General features: G+C 43.5%; 1 protein-coding gene across 10 annotated transcripts in view, besides 2 other annotated features; it reads right to left on the bottom strand.

Moving 5' to 3' along the window:
- Window positions 736-945: an enhancer, noted in NCBI's record as "active region_2439". NCBI's record gives its function as "activates an Ori minimal core promoter by ATAC-STARR-seq in GM12878 lymphoblastoid cells {active_cell/tissue: GM12878}" and the evidence as "EXISTENCE:reporter gene assay evidence [ECO:0000049][PMID:35858748]".
- The window catches only part of PFKFB2 (6-phosphofructo-2-kinase/fructose-2,6-biphosphatase 2), a 46,612-nt gene continuing 24,338 nt past the window's right edge, over window positions 4,871-27,144 (bottom strand). For 5 of the 10 annotated variants that reach the window (XM_047422548.1, XM_047422547.1, XM_024447654.2 and 2 more), the window contains 13 exons: window positions 23,820-23,945; window positions 23,182-23,278; window positions 22,689-22,755; window positions 22,477-22,551; window positions 22,069-22,125; window positions 20,738-20,862; window positions 18,192-18,399; window positions 17,589-17,735; window positions 16,370-16,474; window positions 15,489-15,618; window positions 14,648-14,710; window positions 14,325-14,389; window positions 8,081-13,694 (listed from right to left, as the gene is read on the bottom strand). In XM_047422548.1, the coding sequence (XP_047278504.1) occupies window positions 13,527-13,694; window positions 14,325-14,389; window positions 14,648-14,710; window positions 15,489-15,618; window positions 16,370-16,474; window positions 17,589-17,735; window positions 18,192-18,399; window positions 20,738-20,862; window positions 22,069-22,125; window positions 22,477-22,551; window positions 22,689-22,755; window positions 23,182-23,278; window positions 23,820-23,945 (1,433 nt within the window). In that variant the 3' untranslated portion in view covers window positions 8,081-13,526. The other 5 variants (XM_024447657.2, XM_047422549.1, NM_001018053.2 and 2 more) reach the window with 3 other exon arrangements.
- Window positions 18,143-18,374: a silencer, noted in NCBI's record as "fragment chr1:207240869-207241100 (GRCh37/hg19 assembly coordinates)". NCBI's record gives its function as "represses an EF-1alpha promoter that drives an FKBP-Casp9 reporter gene in an ReSE screen in HepG2 liver carcinoma cells {active_cell/tissue: HepG2}" and the evidence as "EXISTENCE:reporter gene assay evidence [ECO:0000049][PMID:32094911]".

Below are 27,144 nucleotides of genomic sequence, written 5' to 3'. Positions count from 1 at the left end.
ATAAATGAGCGTTAGCAGGCTCTTCTATTCCTTTGAACATTAAAAGATAGTTGGATCTATGCCAGATCGTTTCCTGGAGAACTGGGGTAATAGATCAGGTGAAACTGTTGTTCTCAGACTGGCTTCATTGCTTTACAATGGAATGGGCAAGCTGGGCATAGTGGTTCACACCTGTAATCTCAACACTTTGGGAGGCCGAGGCAGGTGGATGGCTTGAGCACAGGAGTTCAAGACCAGCATAGCAAGACCTCATCTCTATAAAAAATAAAATTTTATATATATTAGACAGGCATGGTGGCATGTGCCTGTAGTCCTAGATACTTGGGAGGCTGAGACAGGAGGATCACCTGAGTCCAGGAGATCAAGGCTTCAGTGAGCTGTAATTGCACCACTGCACTCCAGTGTAGGCAACAAAGCAAGAACCTGTTTCAAAAAAACAAATAACAACAAAACACAAAGAAATGGGCAGATGGTAGTTAAAGGAAGAGATCAGGAGGTGAGGAAGGAAGAGTAGAAATATAAAAGTCAGCAATGCCCAATCTGGGGGAAGAGTTGTGGGAAGTTATAAAAGGGGCACACACATTGCAGTGTGTGTAAGATTTTAAGAGAATTCAGGAAAGACTATTTTAAGAAGTTCTACAGGGTGTCATGAATGGATTCCCTTTGGTCTTTGTCAAGAGAATTCAGAAAAGATTTAAATTGCTCTTTTAATGTTTTTTACACGTTGGGTTGATGTTTCCCCAATGCCTGACCAAAACAACCTGGGCCAGAAAAGTGTGGGGGGCGCACAGCCACATACTCAAACTTATGTACAAGGCATTTGAGGTTGGGGCATGGAAAAATGCTGAGGCACTGTGTGTATGTTATTTGTGCATGAGAATATAATTCCTTGACCCTGAAAACAGGACAAGGAGTGGAGTGTGTGATAAGGAACGCTGAAAACAGCCTCCTGAGAATGCGGTTTGAGTGCTTTGACAAGGCCACAGGTGTCTCACAACCCGACCTCAAAAAGCCATCTGGTGGATGTTTGTGGTGTAACAAGCCCTTTCAATGAATACATGGTGGGCAGATATTGGGGCGGACTCTCCTCAGAAGAGCTGCTCCCTCCCCCGCTCAGCTGGAATTTTCTGAGAACTCATTCTTGGCGTTCACTGCAAGCTATAAGCTTTGCAAAAAGTAGCCTTAGGCAGATTCCATGGGAATGTAAATTTTAAAAAGAATTTGTAAAAATCAAATTGTGCATGAAACACTGTAGAATAAGCTTTAATTATGAGTTTAGATGGACCTGCACTGTGGCAAGATCAGAGTTGATGCATTGTTACTCTAAGTTTTAGGGGACAAGAATAAGTCACCTTAAAATATGCCTCTTTGGCATAAAGATTATTTTGAACTGCAGGCAAATGAGATGCAATGGAAGCAGAAAGAAGCCTTCCTGGAGTATCTCTTAGATGACTCTAAGCAGAAACTTCTGAGGAATGAGGACTGCTGTAAGTCCTTTCTCCGGAGGGAGATTTATGTCCACAAAGAAGTCAGTGTCAAGACAGACCTACACAAACCTTCTCCATTAGTTTCTTTCAGGTATTTGCCTTCTCAAAATTTGCAGCCCTAGAAACTTAACGTTTTTTCCTTTGTCTTGTCACTTCTCTACAAAGTTATTGCTCTTTTGTTAAGATGCTATATAAATCTAAGCTCTAACTCCCCTTTGAGTTACTCATCATGAGGTTCCTCCCAGGTGGGGTGTGCTTCACACATTAATAAATTGTTTGGGTTTCTTTTGTCAATCTGTTTTGTTAGTCTAATTTACAAAGTCCCAGGCAGAGAACCTAGGAGGGTAGAAGGAAAAATAATTTTTTCCTCTCTTACAAAGCAATGGCAGCCTAACTCCTCAAAGGCTACTGCTCACCTTGTTATAGCTCTTCAGACCTGCTACAATGTTTCAATTACCTACTAAGGCAGGTTGCTACTTCTTCAATAGCTATTGAACCCTTCTTTGGTAACTAAACCCTAATTATAACTGGCACAAAGCCACTTGGAATAAAAATATTCCAGCCTGCATGAAAGCTGTATGTAGCCACTTGACTACATTTTGACCAATGAGGTATAAGCATAAGTGTGCTTGCAAAATCTAGGAAATATTCTTTTTTTAATTTTTAACTTTACAGTAGGTGTATATATTTATGGGTTACATGAGAAGGGAAATATCCTTAAAAGAAGCTGGTATGTCCTGTTGCCTTCTTCCTTCCTGCTGGCCAGAGTGTAAACATGTTTTCTGCAACTGGAGTAGCCACCTTCCTCTATGAAGTAGAATCCAACACATTGTTCTTTTTGAGCGAGAGAGACAGAGAAAGAGAGAGAGAGCGAGTCTCACTCTGTCATCCAGGCTGGAGTTCAGTAGCATGATCATAGCTCACTGCAGCATCAAACTCCCAGGCTCAATCAATTCTCCCACTTCAGCCTCCCGAGTAGGTAGGACTACAAGTGTGCACCACCATTCCTGTCTGATTTATTTTTTATTTTTGTAGAGATGGGTGGGGGGGGGGTCTCACTATATTGCCCAAGCTGGTTTTGAACTCCTAGCCTCAGGCAATCCTCCCGCTTCAGCCTCCCAAAGAGCTGAGATTACCAGCCTGAACCAATGTGACCTTGGAGTTGTTATTTTAGATTTACTGAAATCCACAGCTGAAACCAACTCTAATCTGAAACAGAGTTTGAGTGAAATGACTCAGGAATTTAAATTCAGAAAAGAATATTTAACAGACTTTATTAAAGCATACTCTGACACAGTTTCCCTTCCCATCCATAAATTCTACAAAGACAATGGGGGAAAGAGGAGAGAACCTAGGAAGTGAAAACTGAATGGCAATGAAGAGGCAAACATATCAGTGATGAAGGAAACCCAAATGGATAAACAAGTTATTCTCTGAAAGTAGGCTGGATGTTTGGTGAAGGGCATTAAACATGTTGAGAGTAGACCCCATGCTACAGTGCTGCTTCCCAAGCGTTCCTATGCTTCTGAAATTATTTTGCTTAATTGCAGGGAAACTCTCCTATAGAATCTAATCTGATTTTCACAGGTAGAGTGTTGCATACAATCAAAAAGGCATTTAAATGCCTTTGGGAATTCAGAAGCGTAGTTGTTCTGCTTGTAAAGGGCTGAAGGAATGCAGCTGACATTGGCTTGATGAGAATAAAAGAAGAAAGACTGTGCTTTGATGTTTTTAAGAGAAAGAAAATATTACTCTCCATGATTACAGTGATGCTATCTCATTAAAAACCACGTTCTTAAATATCCCAGTGTGCAGTAAAAAAATTCCAGTACATCATATATTCCCCTCCTCCGCTTAAATAGTATCAAATGCATGTCACTGGATTATTTTTTCTTTTACATGTTAAAGGAGAGAAATGGACAAGAGAGTATGGACAGTATTACGTAGCTCCTGTTTCCTACCCTGAGGTCCAAGAATGGGTTTCAGGTCATGACCTCCCTAAACTGTATGCAAAACCTATGTGTCAACCTTTTTCTGGGTAGAGAGTCCTTAGCATGTCAAATTCTCAAATGAGTTCAAGAGAATGAATGAAGGTTGGATGGTGCAAAATACTTCTAGAGACCATAAACCTTGGTGATGGGCCATTGTCAGACGCCACAGGAAGTGCCCATGGGCTCATCACCTCCTGCCGAGTTCAAAACCAGCTTGGGCAACATAGTGAGACCCTATTTCTACAAAAATGAAAAATAAATAGCCAGGGCAAGCTAGTGAACCTGAAGGTTGATGCTCCTCACAGTGAGTCCTAAGTGAAGACCCTGGAGAAGTTTAAGAAATGGTGTAATGATGAAACCTACAGGAGAAAGGCAAATAATGACCATCACCCAACACTGAAGTACTCGCTGAGTAATCATTTTCTAATGCTGGTATCTTTGCTAAGTTACCAGCAACATTTTAAAACAGTGTGGCATGTGTCTGTTGGGTCTTAACATTTACCTTGTTCTGAGATATTATTGGCTTTATAAAAATCACGAGTGTTGAGGTGTGTGACTCAGTAATGGTGCTCATTTACCTCTCTGTAAAACCCAGAGAATGATTCCAGACACCCCAGCCTTTTACAAATGATGACTTGATGGCTGAATTAGAGAACACTTGCAGAAGTGCCTGGAGATATTTCCAAGGAAATTAAACCTTGACACCACATCCTCATTACTGTCAGCCCACCAGCTAGATTATTAAAGCTCAATGTATTCATCAGTACACATAACCACTGTCTCTCACCTGTTTTCAAATTGGAGAATTCATAAGTCATTTTCATTCTATCAGAAGAACCCTTGAACTTAAAGAATTTGGAAATCCTCTGTTGTTATTATGAATGTTTCATTTTATCTCTATTGCTGCTGACCCCAAAAGATTGTTCCAAGTTACTTTATCATATACATTATGTAACCATTATCCAACATTATTTGGTGAAGGTCATTCATGAGGGGGAAAGCATCCCCAGTAGAAAGAGATGCGTTAGGTTACAAACCTGCTGTTAACCTTTCCTTTCCAATAATAAACTCTAAACAAAGGTCAGGGACTTTGTTTTAGTCATTGCCTGGCAACTAATGGGTAGTCACTAAATATTTGTTAAATAAATAAATGAAACTCTAGGACGTCAGTAATGCATGGTAGTCACAATCTTACTGATATCATTTTGAAATGCTGATGAAACTTGAACTGGTTAAAATCACTAGTTGGAAATATACATATAATCTAATAATTTGAAAATCATCTTAAAGAAGCTAGTTTCAAACACATTTTAGACAATGTTATTAATATTTTGCATACATATAATGTACCAAATGTTATCTTTTCGTGTGTTATCTTAAAAATTAATTGCATTTTTAATTAAAAATAATTTTATTTTATGTTCTTATTACAAAAGCAATACATATTACTCGCATATTTTAGCATGATTTTATTAATCCAGGAGATAAACACTTCTCCAGAGAAATGCATCTCTTGGTTTACACTTACAATAAAAATCAATGAGAAACAAAGTATTCAAAAAAAATTCACTGTCCCTTAACATCGTTATTTTCCTTTTACAGAAGACAGATATCTACGTTCTGGAAATTTAACTTAAGTTAATATGACATTAGACTTAAAAGCTCTAACTACCTAAATTTCTACAAAAAAAACCCCAAACAAACAAACAAAAAAAAACCTGACAACATAAATTATATTACATTCTGATTAAATACATGCAAACAGTGACAAGAAAACTCAAAAATGCCTTACATGGATAGAATAAATAACTAAATATAAACATTGTCTGATCATCAAAAGACAGTTTTCGATGCAGAGAGAAATCCATATCACAACTAAATCATTATAGTACAGCATGCGGTAGGCAGCCAGATGAAAATCATCTGCTACAGGGTAAGGAGCCTTCCTGAAGGCAGCTTTGTACGTAGAAAAGCAGCTCCTAGTTGCTGGATGCTGAACCGCCTGCAGCCCAGCTTATCACATCTTAGGTAACAGAGTCCTGTATCATCCACAGTATAAAAGAACCATTTGAGAAAAGCTACATATCATTACTTTTCTTGCTACTCACCCTTTTGCCCAGCAAGTGAGCATTTGAGTGAAAAGGAAAAGAAAGAAAAGTAAAGCTAAAAACATACTATTCTTTAAAAAATAGACTTTCCTTGCAAGATATAATATCCTGTGGGGATTCCATACTCTCCTTCAGTAACAGTGACATGTCAAAACCACATTTACAGAGATACATTCATACATTTGACAATCACTGGGGAAGAGTTATCTGATTTGTCTGTAAGGAAAAGCGAATGACTAATGCACTGAGGCGCTGGTCCATGACCCCGCCACCCTCACTTTTATATGAGAGATCAGTGACCACAATAGTGACCAGTGGCCAAGAGGCAGGTATCAGGAGACTACTGCCCTCCAAGTCACAGCCACAGCTCTCTCAAGGACTGTATCATGGTGACAGAGCCCACAGAGGGGCGTGTCTCCTTCCACCTGTTCTGAAGCCAAAACACTCCCTGATCGGGCTGATTCTCAAGGAGCTTTCTTGACTTACTCACGTGATATAAATGGCACTCTACTTTTCTGTCTAGTCCACATTCCCAACCACCCAGGAGAACCACATCAGCCCCATCTTGATGCATGAGAGGCACATGCATCAAGTCAAAAGTACAGTAGCTACAAAAGGGAACTTAGAAGATGGGTACCCATTTTGGGGAGTCTTGCAGTCAGATCCTGTCCTGAAGGGCCTGGAACAAGAAAAACTTCTCTAAATGAAAAGGTTGCCACTGACACTGTTCTTCTATCAAGGCAGAGAAGATGTTTTAGGGACTGAATTTCTCAGAAGACCCTCCATTCACCTGGTGATTTGTCTCTTGCTTCCAATGTGGCAAATGGTAACTGCTAGCATAAGTATATTAGACTCTAGCCTGCTCGCCTGGAACAGTGGCAGAGACCAGCTCTTACCTTCTCACTTGAAAAGTAAATCTGAAGAAGTGCATTTGCACTTTGGGCAAAAAAGAGCCAGCAAAGGATGCAGACAGTCACAGGTAGGATGTTAAATGCCTATACAGAATGAGATTGACCAACTTGGACCAAACTCAGCACAGAGATGACAAAAAGTCACTGGTTCAGGTTGCTAAATGTTTTGAGGCACAGGGAAGTTAAATTTTTCAGTGTAACTGATATTCCCATTAGGCAGGAGGGGAGGAAATATGGTGACGTTTCTCCAGGCCTCGTTTTGGTGGCCCCCAAAGTCCAGTTCCCACTTAACTTCCTGTTCTAGCCTCTGTGAAGCTGACATCCCAAGCTTTTCAGTAGATCCCAGTCGTTTGGAGAGGTGAGGCCTGAACATCCACATCATTAGCAAGGCAACATGAGGGACGCTGCGGAGGGGCGTCTGCGCACAGCCAGTGTGGTCTCTGCTGCCTACGAGCCAGAGAGGAAGAGACACAAAGCTATTACAGCACTGCCAAGCAGCGAACATAAAAGTAGAACAGAATCCTTCCCCTACCTTCCCTCCTCCCTCAACCTCCCCATCCCCACATCCATACACATGCATGAACACACTGGTGTGCCTACACACACACCTTGACTACCCGAATGGCGTAGTCATGGTCTTCTTTCCCTGAGGAGCTGACCTCGTGACCATATTGGACCAGGCACTCCTTTCAGACCTGGACCATAAGCTACATACCCAAGATATGAAGCAGGAGCAGTCAGGATCCCTCTGGTAGAAGGAAATCGTGTAGGCTATGTCAGCCAAAAGACCATGCCAATAAAGTGACACTGTAGTCAGGGGCTACTTGGCTTCTGAGGAGGGTCCCTACTATTTTAGTTATACGAGTCCATTCTGAAACCAGTCATCAGAGCAGATCAACTTCTTCCCATTAACTGGCATCTAACATTTTACCTTGTGGGAAATTTTTCCCCTAGAACAGTGCTTCTCAAATGTTAAATGTGCATATGAATCACCTGGTCGTCCTAGTAAAATGAGGATTCTGACTCCGGAGGTCTGGGATGGGGCCTGGGATTCTGCATTTCTAATGAGCTTCTGGTCTTTGTTAAGGTAACAAGGAATAAGGCATGCGAATGGTAAAACAATCCCATCTGTATTTCCTGTCTCAAAAAAAATTAAATGCTGTTTTATACCCTTGACCATAATCTCTTTAGAAATGGGCAAATCACATTTTAGGAACAACAGTCCACCAAGTGCTAAAAAATCTCCAAAAGTTTTCTTTATAATACATAATATGAGTTACATGTTGCTAATGGGAATTACTGCACAGTGCAGTGAAATGTAATTGTTTCTTAATTCTTGCATAAGTGCCAACAGGAACACACAACTATTGAAGTTCATGTGCTTTCCATAATGTTCTTCCTATCTTCCCCAGAAGGTGGCAGAAGAGAGCCACGGCTACACCATGGTCTTCAATTACAGTGCGAACTTCTGTTGGCTTGTCTGAGTCTGAATCCTTGTGCAGCATGAGGCAAAGTTTTAGGGGTGGGGAAGGGATGGGAAACACAACTGAAAATACTAAACAAAAAACCCAGAAGCCTTCTGATAGGTTCAAGTTACTCAACAATTTTATTTACCCATTCTACACACACGCACACAAAAACACATTTCAAATACAGTTATGCACACTTTAAATGGATCTGAGTGGCATACTTTGTTATCAGTGTCACCCGATTAAATCAGAATGTTGCTAAAGACTTATGTTCCTATTTCAACAGAGCAGTGCCTAGGAAATCTACAGTAGAACTCTCTTCCTAGGCTTCCCAATCTGACCCATTCCCATTCAACCCAGAGGTGCTCAGCCCCACACCATCCCCCTTCCCAAAGGGCACCATGTATGATCAGCCCTTTGATTTTGCCATAGCAAAACCATCACCATACCAGCATAAGTTGATCTTCTTGTTAGGTCAATATAATAAAAAACGTACATAAGCAATTCAGATACAAAAACATTGCGTAGGTAAACATTGGTCACAGATATCCAGTGAAAGGCTTACTGGAAAAAATACTTTTGCCAACCCTTAAAATCAATTTTTAAATGCCAAATTTTCTTCTCATTTTTACTTACTAGATTAAGTGTAAAATCCAAATGCATGGCTGACTAAAAATAGCAGCCCTGTCCAATGGAATACAACATTTCAGAACAGGGTAAGCTGGGGACACAGAAGCTTCAGAAATGAACAGTGGAACTGAAGTCCTGCCCTAAAGCAGGGGACTGGATGAGATGACTTCAAGTAAAGGTAACAACTCCAGGCTCTGAACAGGCATTCCCTTAGCTGAGTTCACAAAATACCATAAAAGTGATGCATAACCTTTATCTTGTACAAAATAATGAGAATTTGGCCACTACTATATAAGAAATATCTATTTAAAATCATAGTGTACAGAACTCCCCTATAAAGAAAACACGTGGAGTGCTTAATTCCTTCCTTTGTTAGACACATTTAATAGACAGAGAATTACCATAATGTACATACACTTCAATGGATACAATCAGAAAGCAGGCAGACTGTCAGCTTACAGACCCTAGACCGTTAGTCAGGCAACACCCAAATTTTACTATAGTCTATCTATCAGTCAGCACACAGACACTACTACAGTCTGTCAGTGACAAACAGATCCTACTAGAGTCAATCAGCACACAGATCCTCCTGGTCTACCAGTTGGTCAACATATAGACACTACTAGAGTCTGTCAGTCAGCACACAGACACTAAAGTCTGTCTGTCAGTCAGTCAGCACAGAGATCCAACTAGAGACAGTCTCCTGGACAGTATGGGTCTAAATTAAATCCCTGGACACAATTCTGACATCTGTGTCACCTTCAGGGAAAGTCGATTCTACCCCACCAGTGCTGCAACCCGACTCAGTTGTTACATATTTTCAATAAGTCAAAATACATAGAAAAGCTGGGTAAATCTATCAAATTTCTTAACAATGAACACAACATGGCTTCTGGGCTTGGCAAAGACAATGGAATGTGCATAAGATTACATAACCCAGATACAATTCTTCTGATTACTGGATACTTTTTCCCGTGCCCATTGGCCACTCCAACCACCAATGAGTTTCTGTCAATTAAGATCTCCTGCTCATAAAAAAAAAAAAAAAAGAAAAAAAAAGTAACATAGATGAATTTATTTCCAAACAGCTATATCATATGTTTCTTCAAAATGCCAGTGTCTCTGAAGACCAAATGTGGGTTGCAAAGAGGATTACCCAGATCCTCATATGGAATACTCACCCATTCAGTCTAGGGGTACAAATATATTGTGTCCTTAACTCCAACTTCTTTGGAAACAAACAAACAATAACAACAACAACGAAACACCAGAGGCAAAGATATAGGGCAGATCCCTAGCACAATGCAAGTTTTTAGAAGCTTTTCTTATTCTACTTTAAAACTCAATGTAAAAATCATCCCTTTACCAAAACAAAACAACAATACAGATAAGAGCTAAATTACAATTTAGGGATTAGGAGATAAGAAGAGAAGCAGGTTCTCTAAATCTGCTTTAGAATTCTCTTTCAAATCTGTCATAGTCTTGAAGCAAGAATAAGAAAACAGAATAATTTCCCTTTCCCCACTTTAGACAAGTAAATTTATAAAAAACTTTTTTAGAGGTGAGGTCTCACTATATTGCCCAGGCTGGTCTCAAGTGATTCTCCTGCCTCAGCCTCCCAAGTATCTGGGACTACAGGTATAAGCCACAGCAACCAGCTTATTCCAGTAGATTAAATGCTAATGTCTTTACCTATTTCTCACAAAACAAAACTTACAGCCTCAGCAGAGAGTACTTTTAAGTCCATTTTTATTTTGTAGGACTTGTGATAGACACAGTCATAGTAATGTATACAGATTACCAACATGCATTCAAGTAAGACCAGGAGAGAAAAGATGAGAAGTAGAGCTGAAACTTCTCTAAAATTTGGAGTAAGAGCTCTTTTCCATTCTACATTCTCCTGGCTTCTTCCTGCTAGACTTCTCTGAAGGGATCTTGCTTTAGAAACTAAAGGATGCTGAAGCCCTTGCTTGCCAAATTCCAATTTCTCATGTCCTATCTGAGGATAAGACCACCTCAGCTCCTCTTCTGGAGAAAGCGAACTAGCACAGGTGAGAGTGGGGAAATAACAGCAGGCTGAGAGCCAGAATGAACATCCCAGTGACCTGTCTCTAATGCTGGGTTAATGACAGGTTAACACAATGCTAGCTTGTTAGAGAAGTCCCCTTTTGCTAAGAGTGGGTACAGTGTTAATCCAAAGTCTGTGGATCAAAGTGCTCCCTCTTCTCATTCATTAGGTCTGAATTACTCTTACCTCACAGCAGAAGAAAAGACTGAATGCCCATTTGGGCTACAGATGCCACCATCCAAGCAAATGTGGACAATGCAACCTTGTAAAAGTGCCAAACACGCCTCCCCAACCATATCTCATTCTCACACTGGTGGTGGTGGGGGCATCCCCATCCCCCAACCCCTGTAGTCTCATAGCCATAGGACAACAGAAAAGTCAGGAGAAGCGATGTGATGGTTGAACACTTCTAGACTCAGACTGTTGCTATATTGCAAATGTCCATTTGTTATAAATTACATGTCCTGTCTCTTAAAATAACCTTCCTCTGGACAAGGACCTTTTCTTCTACTTCTGTTTAGCTTTCCCCTATCCCTGCCCCTACCAGCCCAAAGCTCCACAAAGACACTAAGTACATGTTATGTAACCACTAAACAGGAATAGCAGGTTACTTAACATCTTGGACACAATTTTGAGAAGAATCTAGGTAAGCAGCCTTTAGAAGCTGCCTATGGTATCCTACTTGGGACATACGAGTAAAGGACCCGGGGTCAGGAGTCAGTTGCCAGTGATGACAACCTTTATCATCCTGGCAGGGTCTGCACCTCTCTCCAGGGTGCTTAAAATCCCCAGCTGCTCTCTAGAGACAATTATTTAATTCAGTGATTTGTTCCACATCACTCAGCAATGTAAAGGGTTAAAGATGGGACTAGAACCTAGAATAACCCTCTAAAACACAGCAGCCTGCCTTCCAGGGGGTTATATCATTTAACATTATGATCTGCTCAAACATCAAACCCAAAGAACTGTCCTTTCAGGACTATGAGGAATTCAGAATTCCTAGGCTGACACTTTTGTCTGAGAAACTACTATCCAGTATTTTTCCACCTAACTTCCTAAGGTGGAGTTCTTAACCCGAGCTATGAATCAGAATCATCCGGGAAGCTACTTAAATACATGCATGTCCAGACCCAGATCCCAGAGATTCTGAGTCAGTATTAAGCATAAGGTGGACACAGGCATGTTTATGATTCAACAATCCTAAAGGCAATTCTAAGGAATACTCCTGGATGAGAACCACAGCAAAAAGTCTTCCATTACCAAATGAAAACACCCTTGGAAAATAGCTAACTCCTTCTCACTGGTTACCTCTAAAAGACCAGCAGATAACTTTAAGGTGGGGAGTCACCTATCTCTTTTTAAAATCCCATGAGAACCCTAAACTTGCCTCTCAGAAAAACATACATATATTCGTACATTTTGCATGCAAAATTGGGAAAGAGAATAAGCCATCATGGTCATCAAGGGGCTAAGAATTTCTTCCCTAAACATTTTCTGTTTAACCCTACAAAGAAAATGAAATGACAGAAGTGAATAGAGAAATACAAACAGTTACGAGCTAGATCCCACAGGGTTCCAAGGACTTCTCTGGACATCAAGATGAGATAGTTTCTCTTTATGAACAAAAGAATACTCCAATGAGAGAGATTAAATTCATCATCAAGCTTTTCCACATTTGGGAAAAAAATGGTCATGTAAAAACTATTTTGTTTTGATGTTTCTTTCTTCTTAAGGACAGTGTGCTGAAATTATTCAAAAATAAGCAGTTTTAGTGAACTCTTCTCTGCCTCTTGCCTTGAGCAACTCAAACATCAGTGGTGACTCCTGAATCTAACTGCCCTTCTAAACAGCCCCAGAGGATACTGGCTTTGGCAGGAAAAGTTGCTGTGATTGGCAAAGAACCTGAGAGTCATGGGAGAAAAGACATGACTGCTCTCTAAGAGCCCTGCAAGAGCTAGAGCCCACCCTACTCTCCTAAACCCCACTCTGCAGACCTCAAAAGACCCAGGCCTGACTCTAAATTAAAAATAAAAACCAAGACATTTCCCACATGCTCAGAGCCAGATTCTCCCAGGGCATCGAAGACTTAGAACTGTTTCTCATGAAAGGAGGCAAGAACTCTCACCCTATGTCTACTTGCAAGCTCCAGAATATTCTGTGGATGTCCTGTAGTCTGGGCTGGCCCTTACAGGACCTGGCTGGAGAGGAAGGGAGAAAGGAAAGGAAAGACTCCTCCAGTCCAGATCCATTTAGACCCACTGCAGAAAGCATTAACTGGGCCAGACTTGTCTCTTGTCAATCACCCCTTCCTTCCTAGACAGACACCACAATGCCATGCATTACACTGGACAATCCAGAGGGGACATGAAAGTGGGGGAAGAAAGCAGTCAAGTAAGGAGTGTGAGGAAAACACACATTGAAGAGACAAAAGTGAAGGAAAAATAGACTTTTTGTCCCCCGACTGCTCACCCGCCCTCCATCCCCCAACACTTCACCAACATGAGGACATTAGTGAAGACACCAGGGAACAGAGAGAAGATCCAAGAGTGTGGGGCATGCTCAGCCCCAAGGGAGTGTATCTTTTTCCTCCTCCTCCAGATCATCCCATCTGAGAATCTGTCCTAAAAGACTCAATTTGCTAACTTGCCCCTGGGTGAAAAGATGTTTCAAACTGAAGAACAGCTTAAGTTGTCCTATAAACACATAACCTCATGTTCTGTGTTAAGATTAATGGTGAAGTGTCAGGGGTGGGCATAGAGGGAGGAAGTTAATGACTCCTTGGTGATTAGTGACAAGGGCAGGAGGCCAGGGCTGGAGGGAAACACACAGTTACACCACCGGAATGCTGACTTGGGTCTTCGGCTAGTCGGCCCCTTCTTGCATGTCCTGGGCACGGAGAGGGCTGAGGGGCTTGAGGGGCCGGCTCCCAACACTGTAATTTCTTGGACGCCTTATTGTATTCGAACTGGACAGAGGCGTAAAGCTGTTCCTTCTCATCCTTACAGGGGTTTGGTTCTTGGGGAAGTTGTTCTGATTGGAAATGGAGTGACACCACACAAATGAAAGCCAAGCCAAAAGCTCACTCATACAGGTTAATAATGCGCTTGTAACCACAACAGCTTCCCTCACTCCTGCTCCTCTGCACACAGGGTCCCTCACAGGGCATGGCCCATGGCCTGGCCTCCTAGCATCAGGGGGCTAAAAGGGAGAAGCTCCTTGAGCATAACATTCCAAAGCAGGAAAAAGACCCAAAGAAAGGAAGGGGCTTATTGAAGACCACACAGATTACCAGTGACAGACCTAGGAACAAACCTACACCTCTTGACCCCCACCTTATAGGCTCCTCTGGACTCTGCTTTCTAAAGGGACACTTGGGGTTGGAGGGGGGTAGTAATTTGCATTTCACTTCAGCCAAACACTTTCCATATTTAATTGGATTTCCAGGAGCCAACATTCAAGGTTAAGACTCATGAAAGGGGTACTAATTTAAAAAAAAAATAATTCCAACATCAGTTTCAGACGTAGCAAACTACATTTGGACGTAAGTTCTGAATCTGTTTCCCTTTTGTACATAAAAGAAACCCCAGTCTCTTGATGTCAAAGCTTCAGAGACTCAAGGTGGCAGGGAAACTGGTGTGTTCATCGTGGGAAAATACTTACAGTTGGCTTGTCACGGTGCGTGTTCACAGCCTCCACGTTAAGTTTAATTGTTTCCACTTTGCACCCTGAGAAAACAGAGGAAAGAGAGGACTTAAAGAAAAAGGTTCAATGGAAAATTCCTTAGTTATGGGAAAGTATACCACAAAGGAATGTACGCATTCTGCAATACACACAGTCATGCATACATCCCTTTCAAAACAGAAGGCACTGATGGAGCTTCCCTGGTATATAGGGATAATGAAGCTGAACTCTAGACAAACTTCAGAGAAAATTCTGACCTTCCTCAATTCCCAGCTCCTGCCAGCCCCTATGTGCATAGTTACCATAGGCCACAGGAGTAAGTTTGAAGATGGTATGGAGAGGGCATCTCAAGTATGGTAGCTCATCTGAAAACAGAAAGACCAGGCGAGGGAAGTCTCTTAGTATTATGGAGTAAGGTCAAGTTAGTGGAAGAAAGAATCTACAGAGCTCATAATGAGTTTCCCTTACTTTGACCACCTCTTAGAGTTGTACAACTCCTCCCTTAAACCCCAGACCACAAAGCCACCCAACCTTCTGAGTGGCTAAGGAAGGAAATAAGGCCATCTTAGATCCTTCCACGCAGGCAAAAACAGGAAGTATTGTAGCCAGAGAGCCCAATGGAAGGGGGTCACCTGGGTACAGCAAAGGCCAATAAGGTCTGACCACAACAGCTTCCAAGCAGCTCAGGATGCTGAGCTCAGCATCCACAATGCAGGCTTCCCAGGAGCTCCCGAAGATCGGGAAGCGAAGTATGGAAGAAGGCAACGGCACCTTCTTACTGCCCTTACCCAGAAACAACTGCTGCTCCTAAGATACCACCCTCCTAGTAGGCAGCGTGGCAGGCTGGGAATATTCAACCACTGTCCTGATGCTGCCAGGAGTGTCAGCATGACACTGGCCCTTGAGCCAGGCAGGATCAAGGAGCACCAGCAGCAGCCACTCTCCATTGGAAGCTTTCGTAGCAGCAGAGTGAACTCAGCAAGTCATTGACTCAGTGGCTGCTGGGAGCCCCACACTGCTGTCTGGAGAAAGTACTCTAATTTGAGTGGAGACAGGGAGGTCTGTTTCCCAGGAATCCTGGTGCCACTGCAAGTCCAGCCCTCTCCCACTGGATGTGTCTCCCAGCCCCTCCCTCAAAGGCACCTGCGCCCTTATCCAAGAAGTAGGCCAGGAGGCAGCGCATGACAGCCTGGTGGGAGATGACGAGGACATTGCCCTGACGTTCCAGCTCCATGATGACAGGCTCCAGCCGCTGCACCAGGTCCTGGTATGACTGTGGAGGGAAATGGGGCAGGCTGGCAGGAGCCCAGGTGCAAGCTGGCAGCCAAGTCAGTGGCTGGACCTTGGAGACTAAGGGCCACTTCTTCTTCCTCAGCTGGCTTTCCTCCTGGAGGCTCAGTGAGTTTACATCACCTGCTAACTGCCCCCAGCCCTGGTATCTCTTGAGAAAACTCAGATCTTTCAAAAGCAATATTTAGACCAAGAAAACTACAGGTTAAGAAGAGGAAGTGTGAGTTCAACCTGTGTGTGTGTGTTTTTTCTTCCCACAGATTAATACAGGCAGTGAGACAAGAGACTCCTAGGGGTTTCCTGTACCTCTGCCATTCAGTTTTATTTACTTTTGCCTCACACATCCCTAGAGTATGGAAGCCACTTAGACAAGGAAATAGCCTAAAACACTCAAGATGACAGGGAAATAATTCCTATCCCATATATTTACTTGGTGACTCCACTTACTTATGTGGGGGTGGGATTGAGAGAGTACAAGGAAAAAAAGAAGTAAAAATGATTGTGTTGATTCTAAAACATACTGAACAGAGGATGCCTTGTCACCCTTATCCCTGGGAATCTTAACAATTAATGAGGCATTCGATTGTCTAAGCTGAATGAAACCAAAATGACCCAAGGGAAGGAAGATAAATGATGCCTAGACCCTCCAAATCACATTCAATCCTTCCCCCAAATTAAAGTTAAACACTCAGCAAGGGTCTAGGCAGTCACTTTACATGACAGGGGCGTCTTACCTCCCCACCAGGATATCGATACAGATACTTCTCTTGATCTCGAAGTGCAAACTCTTCTGGGTACCGTTTCTCAATCTCTGCATAGGTCATCTCTTCACACACACCCTGCAAAAAGCCACTTGAAGCTGGCTTGAAGAGATAGACTGTACCACACCAGCCCCATCCCAAATAAGGAAGATGACATTGAAGAATGCTAGTTTCTTAGTACGTGCCAGGCACTGTGCTGGGTCCTTTCATGTATTGCAGCTGCCTGTGACCAGAGTGTCACAGAGTGTCTGTGACTCACCGGGTGAGGACCACTGCCGGAAAGAGGCAACTTCTCTAGCTCAAGCTACCACATTCTCCTACTACTGGGGGGAACTTACAGGTCAAGAAAGTCAAGAGGCTAAAAGGAACAGGAAGCAGAGAAGGAGGGAAACTGAAGGGACTGGAGACCTTGCATGAAAAATAAAAGGGTAGAAGGAAGGAAAGAAAAAGAAATGTCGGCCGGGCACGGTGGCTCATGCCTGTAATCCCAACACTTTGGGTGGCCAAGGCGGGTGGATCACAAGGTCAGGAGTTCAAGACCAGCCTGGCCAAGATGGTGAAACCCCATCTCCCCTAAAACTACAAAAATTAGCCAGGCGTGGTGGCAGGTGCCTATAATCCCAGCTACTCGGGAGGCTGAGGGAGAGAATTGCTTGAACCCAGGAGGCAGAGGTTGCAGTGAGCCAGGATCACGCCACTGCACTCCAGCCTGGGCCACAGAGCGAGACTCCGTGTCACAAAAAAAAAAAAAGAAAGAAATGTCTACTTTTGTACTCAAGAAGAGAGAAAGCCAAGAGAAATTTTGGGAAAAACTTTTCCTGAATAGCTGACCAAATGATCTAAGCAGAAAGCAAAGAAGTGGGTTGTTAGCTATTTATTTTTCCCAGGAGGCAAATATACAAAGGAACAAAATGAGTCCTTGTTAGCCCTACTTTCCCCAGGTGCCAGAAAGGCTGGCTCAAAAATTGGTTTGGGTCCCATGATTGGCACAGGTACTGAATCAGGCAGGAAACCCCTGATTAGGGGTACAATTGTCCTCCCTGATCCCCCGGGCTGGCCATAGAGTCAGCTTCCTCAGAGTTTTTACTTGTTGGTTGTAGTTTCCTAGATAAAACTGTCTAAATAGTGACTTCTGAGAGTTCCTGCCTGAACTCTTGTTGGCTTTTCTGGGCCTTCAGAGCTTCCTACTCACAGCATCAATCTCATTCAGAATCTTCCACTGCTCATAGGGCACCCCGAGAGATTCAGCAGTCTGTATGGTCCTCTTCAACTGGCTTGTCCACACTTTGAGGTCTGTTATTTCCTGTTCCTCCAGAAATTTCCTTAGAGCTTGGGCAAACTGGGGTTTAAAAATGAAAATTAAGGGTAAAAAGAAAACACACAGACACACACACACACACACACACTCAACACACACATACACAAAGCCTGCTAACTTGGTCTGTAAGGGACAACGTGCATAACCATGGTCAAAATCCATAAGGTGCTACATAGTTAATATAAACCCAAAAGGAAATGAACTTTAACTGGAGCACCCTGTACATTGCTAAGTACACAAGTTGTGCCCAATGAATATCTGATGGTTGAATGATCACAGCAGAAATGGGTCAAAGTTATCTACTCTTTAACACAGAGCTAGACGCAGTGAGCAAGAACACACCTTGAGCACTTGCCTGACTATGAAACCACAGCCTACGTCCAAATGGGATTTAAGTAAGGAGATAAAATATATGACCTCAGTCATGCCCTTCTAACTCTAAGCCTAGAAAATCCAGTGTGCTGAATAATTACTCACCTGCTTTCCCCGCACCGAGAGGCCAGAGTCACCCCCAATCTTCCCCAAGAGATTGAACTCGCTTTCTCCATGCCGGCAAAGGTAAATGGTGCGAGGCTGGACGTGGATATTCATGAGGTAGTAGACTATCTTGCTCTGGATGTAGTCCTGGACTCTGTTGACTAAAAATCGCTGGCCCACGTTTATCACCTTGATGAAAGAAAGATCCCTGGGACAGGAAAGGAAAAAAAAAATTCCCTAGGTAAGAAGATCTGAGAATAAGAATCAGAGGGAAAAGGATTTCTACAGGGACTTGCAGGCTCACAGCTGCTCTTCCTCCCCTCCTCTGTCACACCCACGTTTATGGAACCAAATGGTAGGAGATTAATTACTCCTTAAAACCAAGATGAAGTACAATTTCCTGAACTTCTAGTAAGTTTGTACCATTTCCTCAGTGCCTGTAGTGTGACAAGTAATGTAGATAAATAGGATAAACAGAATTCAGCCTTCCCATCAGGGGCTAGACTAGGTGACCTGAAGATTTTGCTAAGCCCAAAATTTGGTGAGAAGAATAGGCCCCTTTTGAGGCAGTTAAGACCTGGCCAGAATATGGCACGACGAGCAACGAGGGGAAGGGAAGAGGCAGCAGAAGCACAGACAGAAATGTCTATATACTCCCTGCATCTACCTAATCATGCTTCTCTCAAAGACACTTTCAGACATTGCTTGCTTTGAGGCCAACATGAGATTGTTCTCTTTATAAAAGTCATAAGTGTGGCTGGATGCGGTAGCTCATGCCTGTAATCCTAGCACTTTGGGAGGCCAAGGTGGGTAGATCAGGAGATCAGGAGTTTGAGAACAGCCTGGCCAACATGGTGAATCCCCATCTCTACTAAAAATAAAAAAATTAGCCGGGCGTGGTGGCGGGTGCCTGTAATCCCAGCTACTCAGGAGGCTGAGGCAGGAGAATTGCTTGAACCCAGGAAGGGGGAGGTTGCAGTGAGCCGAGATCGTGCCACTGCACTCCAGCCTGGGCAACAAGAGCGAGAGACTCCATCTCAAAAAAAAAGTCATAAGTGCTTATTTTAAATCAAAAAATCAGAAAAAATGATGGAAGGATGCAAATCACGCATCACCCTACTACCAGAGATAACATATACAAACATACACATGTATATATATGTAGATCTTCTGTATGTTTTTCTAGGTGGGACTTTGTTCCAACTGAAGAATACTTTTATGCCATATCTAGAGGTGGTTTTCAGCCTCTGAATTAAGGGGATTCTGGGAAACCCACTTGAAGGAACTGAAAGGCTCAAAACATTAAACAGACCACTGTATTAAGTGTGCCATGCACATTAAATGTGCCATTTGCTTGGCTGCAGGTCTGTATTATGTGAATAGAGCTGTTAACTGCCCTGAATGCATGCTCTTTCATGAGGCCACATTCTTGCAGATTTCCATGTGTACACCATCTTTCTTCAACATAGACTTGGTTTTGTTATGGCTCATATACCTCACACATGACAAGTTAATCTATAGTCTACACCATACTGCCAACAAATGCTTCCATAGTAACAACAGCTGGCATTGATCAGACATTTCTCTGAGTCAGGCATGTTCTTGAGGGCTTTGCATGTTATATATAGAGAGAGATAGATATAAAAATATGCAATATGTAATATATATGTTATGCTATAATATGCATGATATACACACAAGCATTAATATATGTAAAATATCATATAATATATATAAACTTTAAAAACTGATGACACATCTCCAAAGGGTATCCTACAACACCCCCATTCAGATATGGAGCAGTGATTCTCAACCAGGGATAACTGTGCCCCCCGGGGAACCTCTGACATGTCTGGAGACATTTTGGTTGTCACAGGTTGGAGGTGTTACTGGCATCTAGTGGGCAAAGCCCAGGGAAGCTGCTGAACATCCTACAATGCACAGGACAGGTCCTACAACAAAGAATTACCCAGTTCAAAGTGCCAATAATACTGAGATTGAGGAAATCATGCTCTAGAGACTGGAGAGAAAAAATTGATGATAAAAAACACTTCCAGCCAGGCGCAGTGACTCATACCTGTAATCCCAGCACTTTGGGAGGCCGAGGCGGGTGGATTACTTGAGCTCAGGAGTTCAAGACCAGCCTGGCCAACATGGGGAAACTCTATCTTTACTAAAAAAAAAAAAAAATAGCCGGGCATGGTGGCGCACACCTGTGGTCCCAGCTACTCAGGAGGCTGAGGTGGGAGGATCACCTGAGCCCCGGGGGCAGCAGTTGCAGTGGGCCCTGATTTTGCCACTGCACTCCAGCCTGGGTGACAGAGTGAGACCCTGTCTCAAAACAAAACAAAACCAACCACTTCAATTTTTCATGTACAAGATGCAATCCACATAAAAGCCACAAATCCATACCTTATTTCTCTGGGATGATGTTAACACTGTAGATCTAGATTATCAGAAGGAAGTTAGAGAACTCAGGGAGAAAGGTTATTTTCCCAGATGAGACCTTTGCCTTGGGCCCTTCAAACCATGGCCTTAAACCTTACTTGTCATAGTTGTCTGGGTCAAGAGGTCGGTAGGTAACTTTGTAGCATTCAATTCTCTTCAGGAAGTCCTCCATCACGTTCTCTCTGTTCCTTTCAGGATAGTCAGGGCTTGATACCTTAACCTCCTGAAATCATAGGAACCAGTAAAGGCCTCATCAGAGGTCTGCCCGTAACAGTCCTCCTACAAATAGCCACTGCTAAAAAAAAGAAAAAGAAGTCCATAAATGTCGCCTTTCACTGGAACATTGGCACTCCACTCATTGAGTACCCCCCGCCCCGCCCCGCCCCGTCCTGTGACCCTGGCAACCAAAAAAGTTAAGACAACTGGGGAGTCATGTGCCTGCACTTGGCTGAAGGACAGAGGCAGTCACGCAGCCAAAGCTGCTCCTGGGCCCCAATCCCTTTATGTACTTTCCTGAGAAAACAGAACAGGCTCCAATGTTTCCCTATTACCACTCAGAATAGGGTGCATGACCCCAGTGCCTGACTTGGGACCAGATGGCTCTTCCTCAGATGATCCCAAGTTCCTACGGCTGGGAGAGCACCTGCATAAGACCATGTTCAGATATCTACTCGGTCCAGCAGAGCACAACCCATCCAATGGGGACTGGCTTACATTGTGACCCCACAGGGAATAAGGAGCTCAATGTATAGAACACTGACGAGAACTTTGGACAATTGCTGGGGAGATAACCTTCCTGTAGGTAAGTCCTGAAACGAAGAGTCTGATCTATTCTTTTTTTTTTTTCTTTTTTGAGACATGTTCTCACTCTGTTACCAAGACTGGACTGCAGTGGCACAATCATGGCTCACTGCAGCCTCAACCTCCCTGGACATGTTCTCACTCTGTCACCAAGACTGGACTGCAGTGGCACAATCACGGCTCACTGTGGCCTCAACCTCCCAGGCTAAGGTGATCCTTCTGGGTTCAAGCAATCCACTTGCCTCGGCCTCCCAAAGTGCTGAGCCTACAAGCATGAGCCACCGTGCCCGGCTGATCTATTCCAACATCTAGGTCTCAACATCCAGATAATACCTAGAGCACAGGGCCAAGAATCCTACAACCTAAACCCTGGTTTCAATTCAACAGCTAATTCTTACTTGATTCCTTAAAGCCTCAGTTTCCTCTCCCAAGAGAAGAGTGTAGAAGTACCAGATGGGGCTCTGGCAGATAGAAAAGATCTCTTTGTGATGTTAAACATGTCTATTTCTCTCTTTCATTACGAAAACACCCCTCCCCAACAACACACACACACACACACACACACACACCCCACAACACACACAGCACAAAAGGTGAAGAGGAGATGATATGTAGGGGTGTCACCAACCAGAATATTGGCAGCAATGACATCAGGATCATCACAGACGGATTCCACAAAGAATACCTGGCCATGGAGAGAAGGCAGTGATAAGCAAGTCAAAAATGCCAGGCTGTTAATTAAGAGCACATGCTCATCTACCCCACCCAGCCACCACATCTCCCAGGATTTTCTTCATGAAAGTGGCCCTCAAGTCCTCCTCATAGCTCTTACCACAGCCCCTGGGCCTCAAACATACAGGCTAACAGTCTGAGAAAGGACCTGAATGAAAACACTCAAGGACTGGGGGAATGCTCTGAGAGAAGAGATTCAGATATCCCATCCTGTCCTCACCCACTAGAGTGAGAGATCCATGCCTGTAGCCTGACTCCCCACCTCTACTCATCCCTTTTCCTCCAACATGGAGTCAGATCCTACCTTGAAGGAATTCTGTTCAGCAAAGTTCAAAATCATGTCCCTCCTCTCCCGGGTTGTATTGGTGGCATCAAACACCTGTGAAGAAAGTACACAAGGTAAATGAGCAGGAACAGAGAAACAGAACCCCACCAGGGCAGACTCAAGGTGGGGCTGGGTAGCCAGGCTGCTGCAAGGGTGGGGACCAGAAAGAAGAAGCAGCAGATAAAGCTTACCGCAATCTGACCATTCTCCTCAGTGAGATACGCCTTAACATCTTCCAGCGCCACCAGAGCACACTGTCTGCCATAAGAGCAAATGAAACCAGCAAGGAGAGCTAAGCTCAAACAGTCAGAGACACAAACATTCGGGTGGCTACAGAAGTCACATCCCTGCCCACTTAGTTTCCCACTGTTCAAAACCTTTCTCTAACTAGATCTTTCAACTTTCTCACTGAGGGTTTTCACACCATCCTATAACCCCTTCCTGCCCCTGCCCCAATGCACAGATCTTAGCCCTCTTTAGACTTCTCCTACAAGCACACAGGTATCAATCACCCTGAGCCCTGTTCTTCTGACCACCCAAGCCCAAGGTCACTTGCCCATCAGATAACTTCCATTTAACTTCCCCTTAAGATATTTACTGAGATGAAACCAAGCCCTGTCACACCAAGTCTCATGACGGCCAAGAAAGAGCTGACCTGGAGATCAGGCCTTAAACAAGACTCACTTGCGGATCTTCATGGCCTCCTCATTGTCATGCCGAAAGAAGTCGTAGGACTTATAGGACTTGACTGCTTCACGCCGATACACCCCAAGATTAAACACTGTAGAAGACACCCAAATCCTTCAGCAGCAAAATAATATGATGGCCCCACCAAATGGGACTTGTTTCTTGGCCTAATGTCGGAGTGACCAAGGGGATGAAAAAAGCGGCAGCATGGTAGGTTGGGAACAATATCAGATTAAGAGTCAAAAGAGTTGGGTTCAAGCCCTGACTTTCTAGACCTTGGACAAGTCTTAAGCTGTCTGAGGTTTCAATTTCCTCAGCCACTCTGTCTATTTCACAGAGACACTGCTAGGGTTATATAAGATGATGTCCATGTAAGGCTTCTGAAAAGGTACAGCCCTATGCTCATCTAAATCTTAACAGTCCTATCAAAGGCATTCCCTCAAAACTAGGCCAATCCACCCACGCCAGGAGGAGACAAGTCTGGGAATAGAGAATAACTCCAGTAAACCAGAAAGCAACTGCTATTTCTGCCAAAAGCACCCTATAGCATTGATGCCAGGAAGAATAAGTCTCCCAGAGACCTGTGAGGCCCAGGAACTAATAATTGTCTTTCCTAGGGAATGAGCCACACTTACCTTTGGTGGGGACTCCAATCCAGTTGAGGTAGCGTGTTAGTTTCTTGGACACGTAGGTTTTACCCCGGGCTGGCAAACCAATCATAACGATCAGAGTCGGGGAGTTGGTCATGTAGGAGGCCCATGCTAGAAGGAAATGAAACAAAATAAAACGAAATGACTAGAGTCCTAGTAAGGTTTTTTGGTGTTTGTTTTTTTGAGACGGAGTCTCACTCTGTCACCAGGCTGGAGTACAGTGGCGTGATCTCAGCTCATTGCAACCTCCGCCTCCCAGGTTCAAGTGATTCTCCCGCCTCAGCCTTCCGAATACCTGGGACTACAGGCGCCCTCCACCATGCCCAGCTAATTTTTGTATTTTCAGTAGAGATGGGGTTTCACCATGTTGGCCAGGATGGTCTCAATTTCTTGACCTCATGATCCACCCACCTCAGCCTCCCAAAGTGCTGGGATTACAGGCGTGAGGCGCCCAGCCCCGCTGGGGTCTAGTAAGGTTTATACACTGAGCTACGAACTTCATAGTCATAATCTCATTTTATCTTCATAAACCTGTGGAGCAAAGGTTCAGCAAGTCTGGGAAGACAAATAAGGAGATATCAGGCAGGCCTCCTGAAATAGAGTTAAAAGGTTATGCAGGCTTCCAGAAAATGCCCAAACCAAGATACGTCTTTCCCACATGTCTGAGGTCTTCACTGCAGTACCCAAGGTGGAAAGAGGAAAAAAGTAGCAAGGCTAAGAAAGAAAATAACCATGCTGCAGCCAGACATGACAGCTCATGCCTGTAATCCCATCAATTTGGGAGAATGAGGTGGGAGGATCACTTGAGGCCAGGAGTTCAAGATAAGCCTGGGCAACATAGAGAGACCCTTGTCTCTTAAAATATATATATATATATATATATATATATATATATATAAAGATATATATAAATATATATAAAGATATATATAAAGATATATATAAAGATATATAGATATATATAAAGATATATATAAAGATATATAAAGATATATATAAAGATATATATAAAATATATATATTTAAGATATTTATATATATCTTAAATATATAATATTTAAGATATAGATATATATAGATATATAGATATATAGATATATATATTTAACTTAGCCAGATGTGGGAGTGTGCACCTATAGTCCCAGCTACTCAGGAGGATTGCTTGAGCTCAGGAGTTCAAGGTTGCAGTGAGCCATGATCCCGTCACTGCACTCCAGCCTGGGCGACAGAGCAAGACTTCGTCTCAAAAAAAGAAAGAAAGAAAGAAAAGTAACAATGACATCATCCTTAACATAAGAATGCCTAGAAATATAAAAATGACAGAGCTGTGAAGGAAGGTCTAATGCTTGGAGATTCTACCAGTGCAGAACTGAGCTGGCTCCTATAATAGGTCCAACAGAGTTTCTGTCTCCAGGATCCCACTCATCCCTTCAGAACCATGGGCAAGAATTAGCTTGCCCACTGCAAAAAGCCCTGCCTCAAGCTGTTTTGGCCTTTTCACTCAGGTCATGAGCTCCTCTTTAAGCCAGAATTTCTAAACCATAGTGAGATTGAGTTGGCAAAGCTTACTTGATACACATTCTGAATAGACCTCAGGAAGCTTCAGGGTAGAGCCAGCCCACAAAGGGCATCAGGGCCAATCTGCCACCATGGCCCACGTAAAAGCAAGACAATTGAGAAGCATTAACAGTCCTCAGTCTACCCTTCCTTAGTAAATTAACTTACTTCAGGAATGCTCATTTGCAGAGATAAGTCTCACTGGACAGGCAGGGCAAACTACATGTTCAGGGGACAGGTGACTTGTCTAGGGACACATAATGAGTCAAGGGTACAGCTGGCACTAGAACACAGATCTTGTGCTTCCTTGCAGCTTTTCTCCATAAAAAGAGGTTCCTCATCACTTTGCTCACAGGGGCTGGCTCCTCCCGGCCCATCTTGCTGCAGAGGAGAGGTGGGAGAAGGACCTGAACTGCTGCCAGCCACTGTCCCGGGGCCAAAAACCACACTGAGGTCATCTGGGATAGCTCAGGCTCTGCCGGCTCCAATGAGGGAAGGCCCTGCACAGGATGGGGGAAAAAGGAAGAAACACCTTCACCTCCCACTTCCCACCACTGCTTCCCAGAAGGTGCCCTGCAAGTTGCGGCTGCCCCTCTGCCTGGTACTAAGGGACCTTGTAAGATTAAGAAACAGTTCTGTAAAATGGAGGTACTTGGATGGGAAATATGACTTTCATTTTTTGAGAAATAAATGTAGAAAGATCTCAATGGAGAAGTGGGAGGAGGGGCCCAGGTAGAGAACCACCCTCGGAAGGAAAAGTTTCCTAAGGGTGTTTGGCAAGAAGTACTCAGAGTGACCCTAGTGGTGAGGAGGGAGAAATGGAGGCCCAGACCTGGGGTCAGAGGGCTTGGCTTTTAGTCCTTTACCCACTGCACACATGGAAAATTCCTGAGTCTCAGCAGGAGCCCCTCCAAGGTAGGTAAAGGAGCAACATAAGTGATTTTCATCTGTGTTCAAATAGGGAGCTTAAAGGCAAGCAAACTGTACCCTGAAGCCTCAGCTGGCATTAATCCCTGATCACTGGCCCCTAACAAGCAGATAGCCTCTGCATGGGATCAGCTGTCTCAGGTTTAAGTAGTAAAATCCCCTGAGTCTTCACTTTCTCCAGCTCGGCTCAATGCCTGCTCTCAATCCCCCATGATTTGGCTCATTACCTGCACTTCTAGGCCTGCTTTGTCCGCACCTTCCAGCCCATTAGGCACTTCCCCCGAAGGTCCTATTACCCTCCCTAAAGTTTAAAATGAACTGATACTTGGGAGCTGCTCTGAAGGCAACCAGGGAACCAGCTGCTCTTGTTTACCCATGTGGACAGAGAATGCTAAGAACAACAACAACAAAAAACTGCATCCACTGGGACCTCCCAAGAGCCCTCCAGCAACGCACCTCTCGCCTCTGTCCAGAATACACTTAAGCACACCTGCTACAACCAGGGCTTCTCATTTTCTGGAGTACAAAACTAAACCACACTTCCTATCTCAAATTACCACACTGGCAAAAGTAGGAACATTCTGTCCTGCCTGTTAAAAAACAAAACCACCTGCCACTGCCACCTGATTAATTTCAGAGACAATGTAACCCATCTCTTGATAGACAATGGAAAACTGTTTCAATCCTGAAATTCTCTTCCACCTTCTTTAAGCCAGGTTCAACTCCTTTTCTTAAACTTAAACTCATTTTCCTTTCATAAACTTGCTTAGATAAAATGAAGACTTGAGGCTGGGCGCAGTGGCTTATGCCTGTAATCCTCACTTTG

This window comes from Homo sapiens, chromosome 1, assembly GCF_000001405.40.
Source record: "Homo sapiens chromosome 1, GRCh38.p14 Primary Assembly".
NCBI lineage: Eukaryota > Metazoa > Chordata > Mammalia > Primates > Hominidae > Homo > Homo sapiens.
The sequence above is the reverse complement of the archived record's forward strand: the minus strand, read 5'-3'. Positions and strand labels throughout refer to the sequence as shown.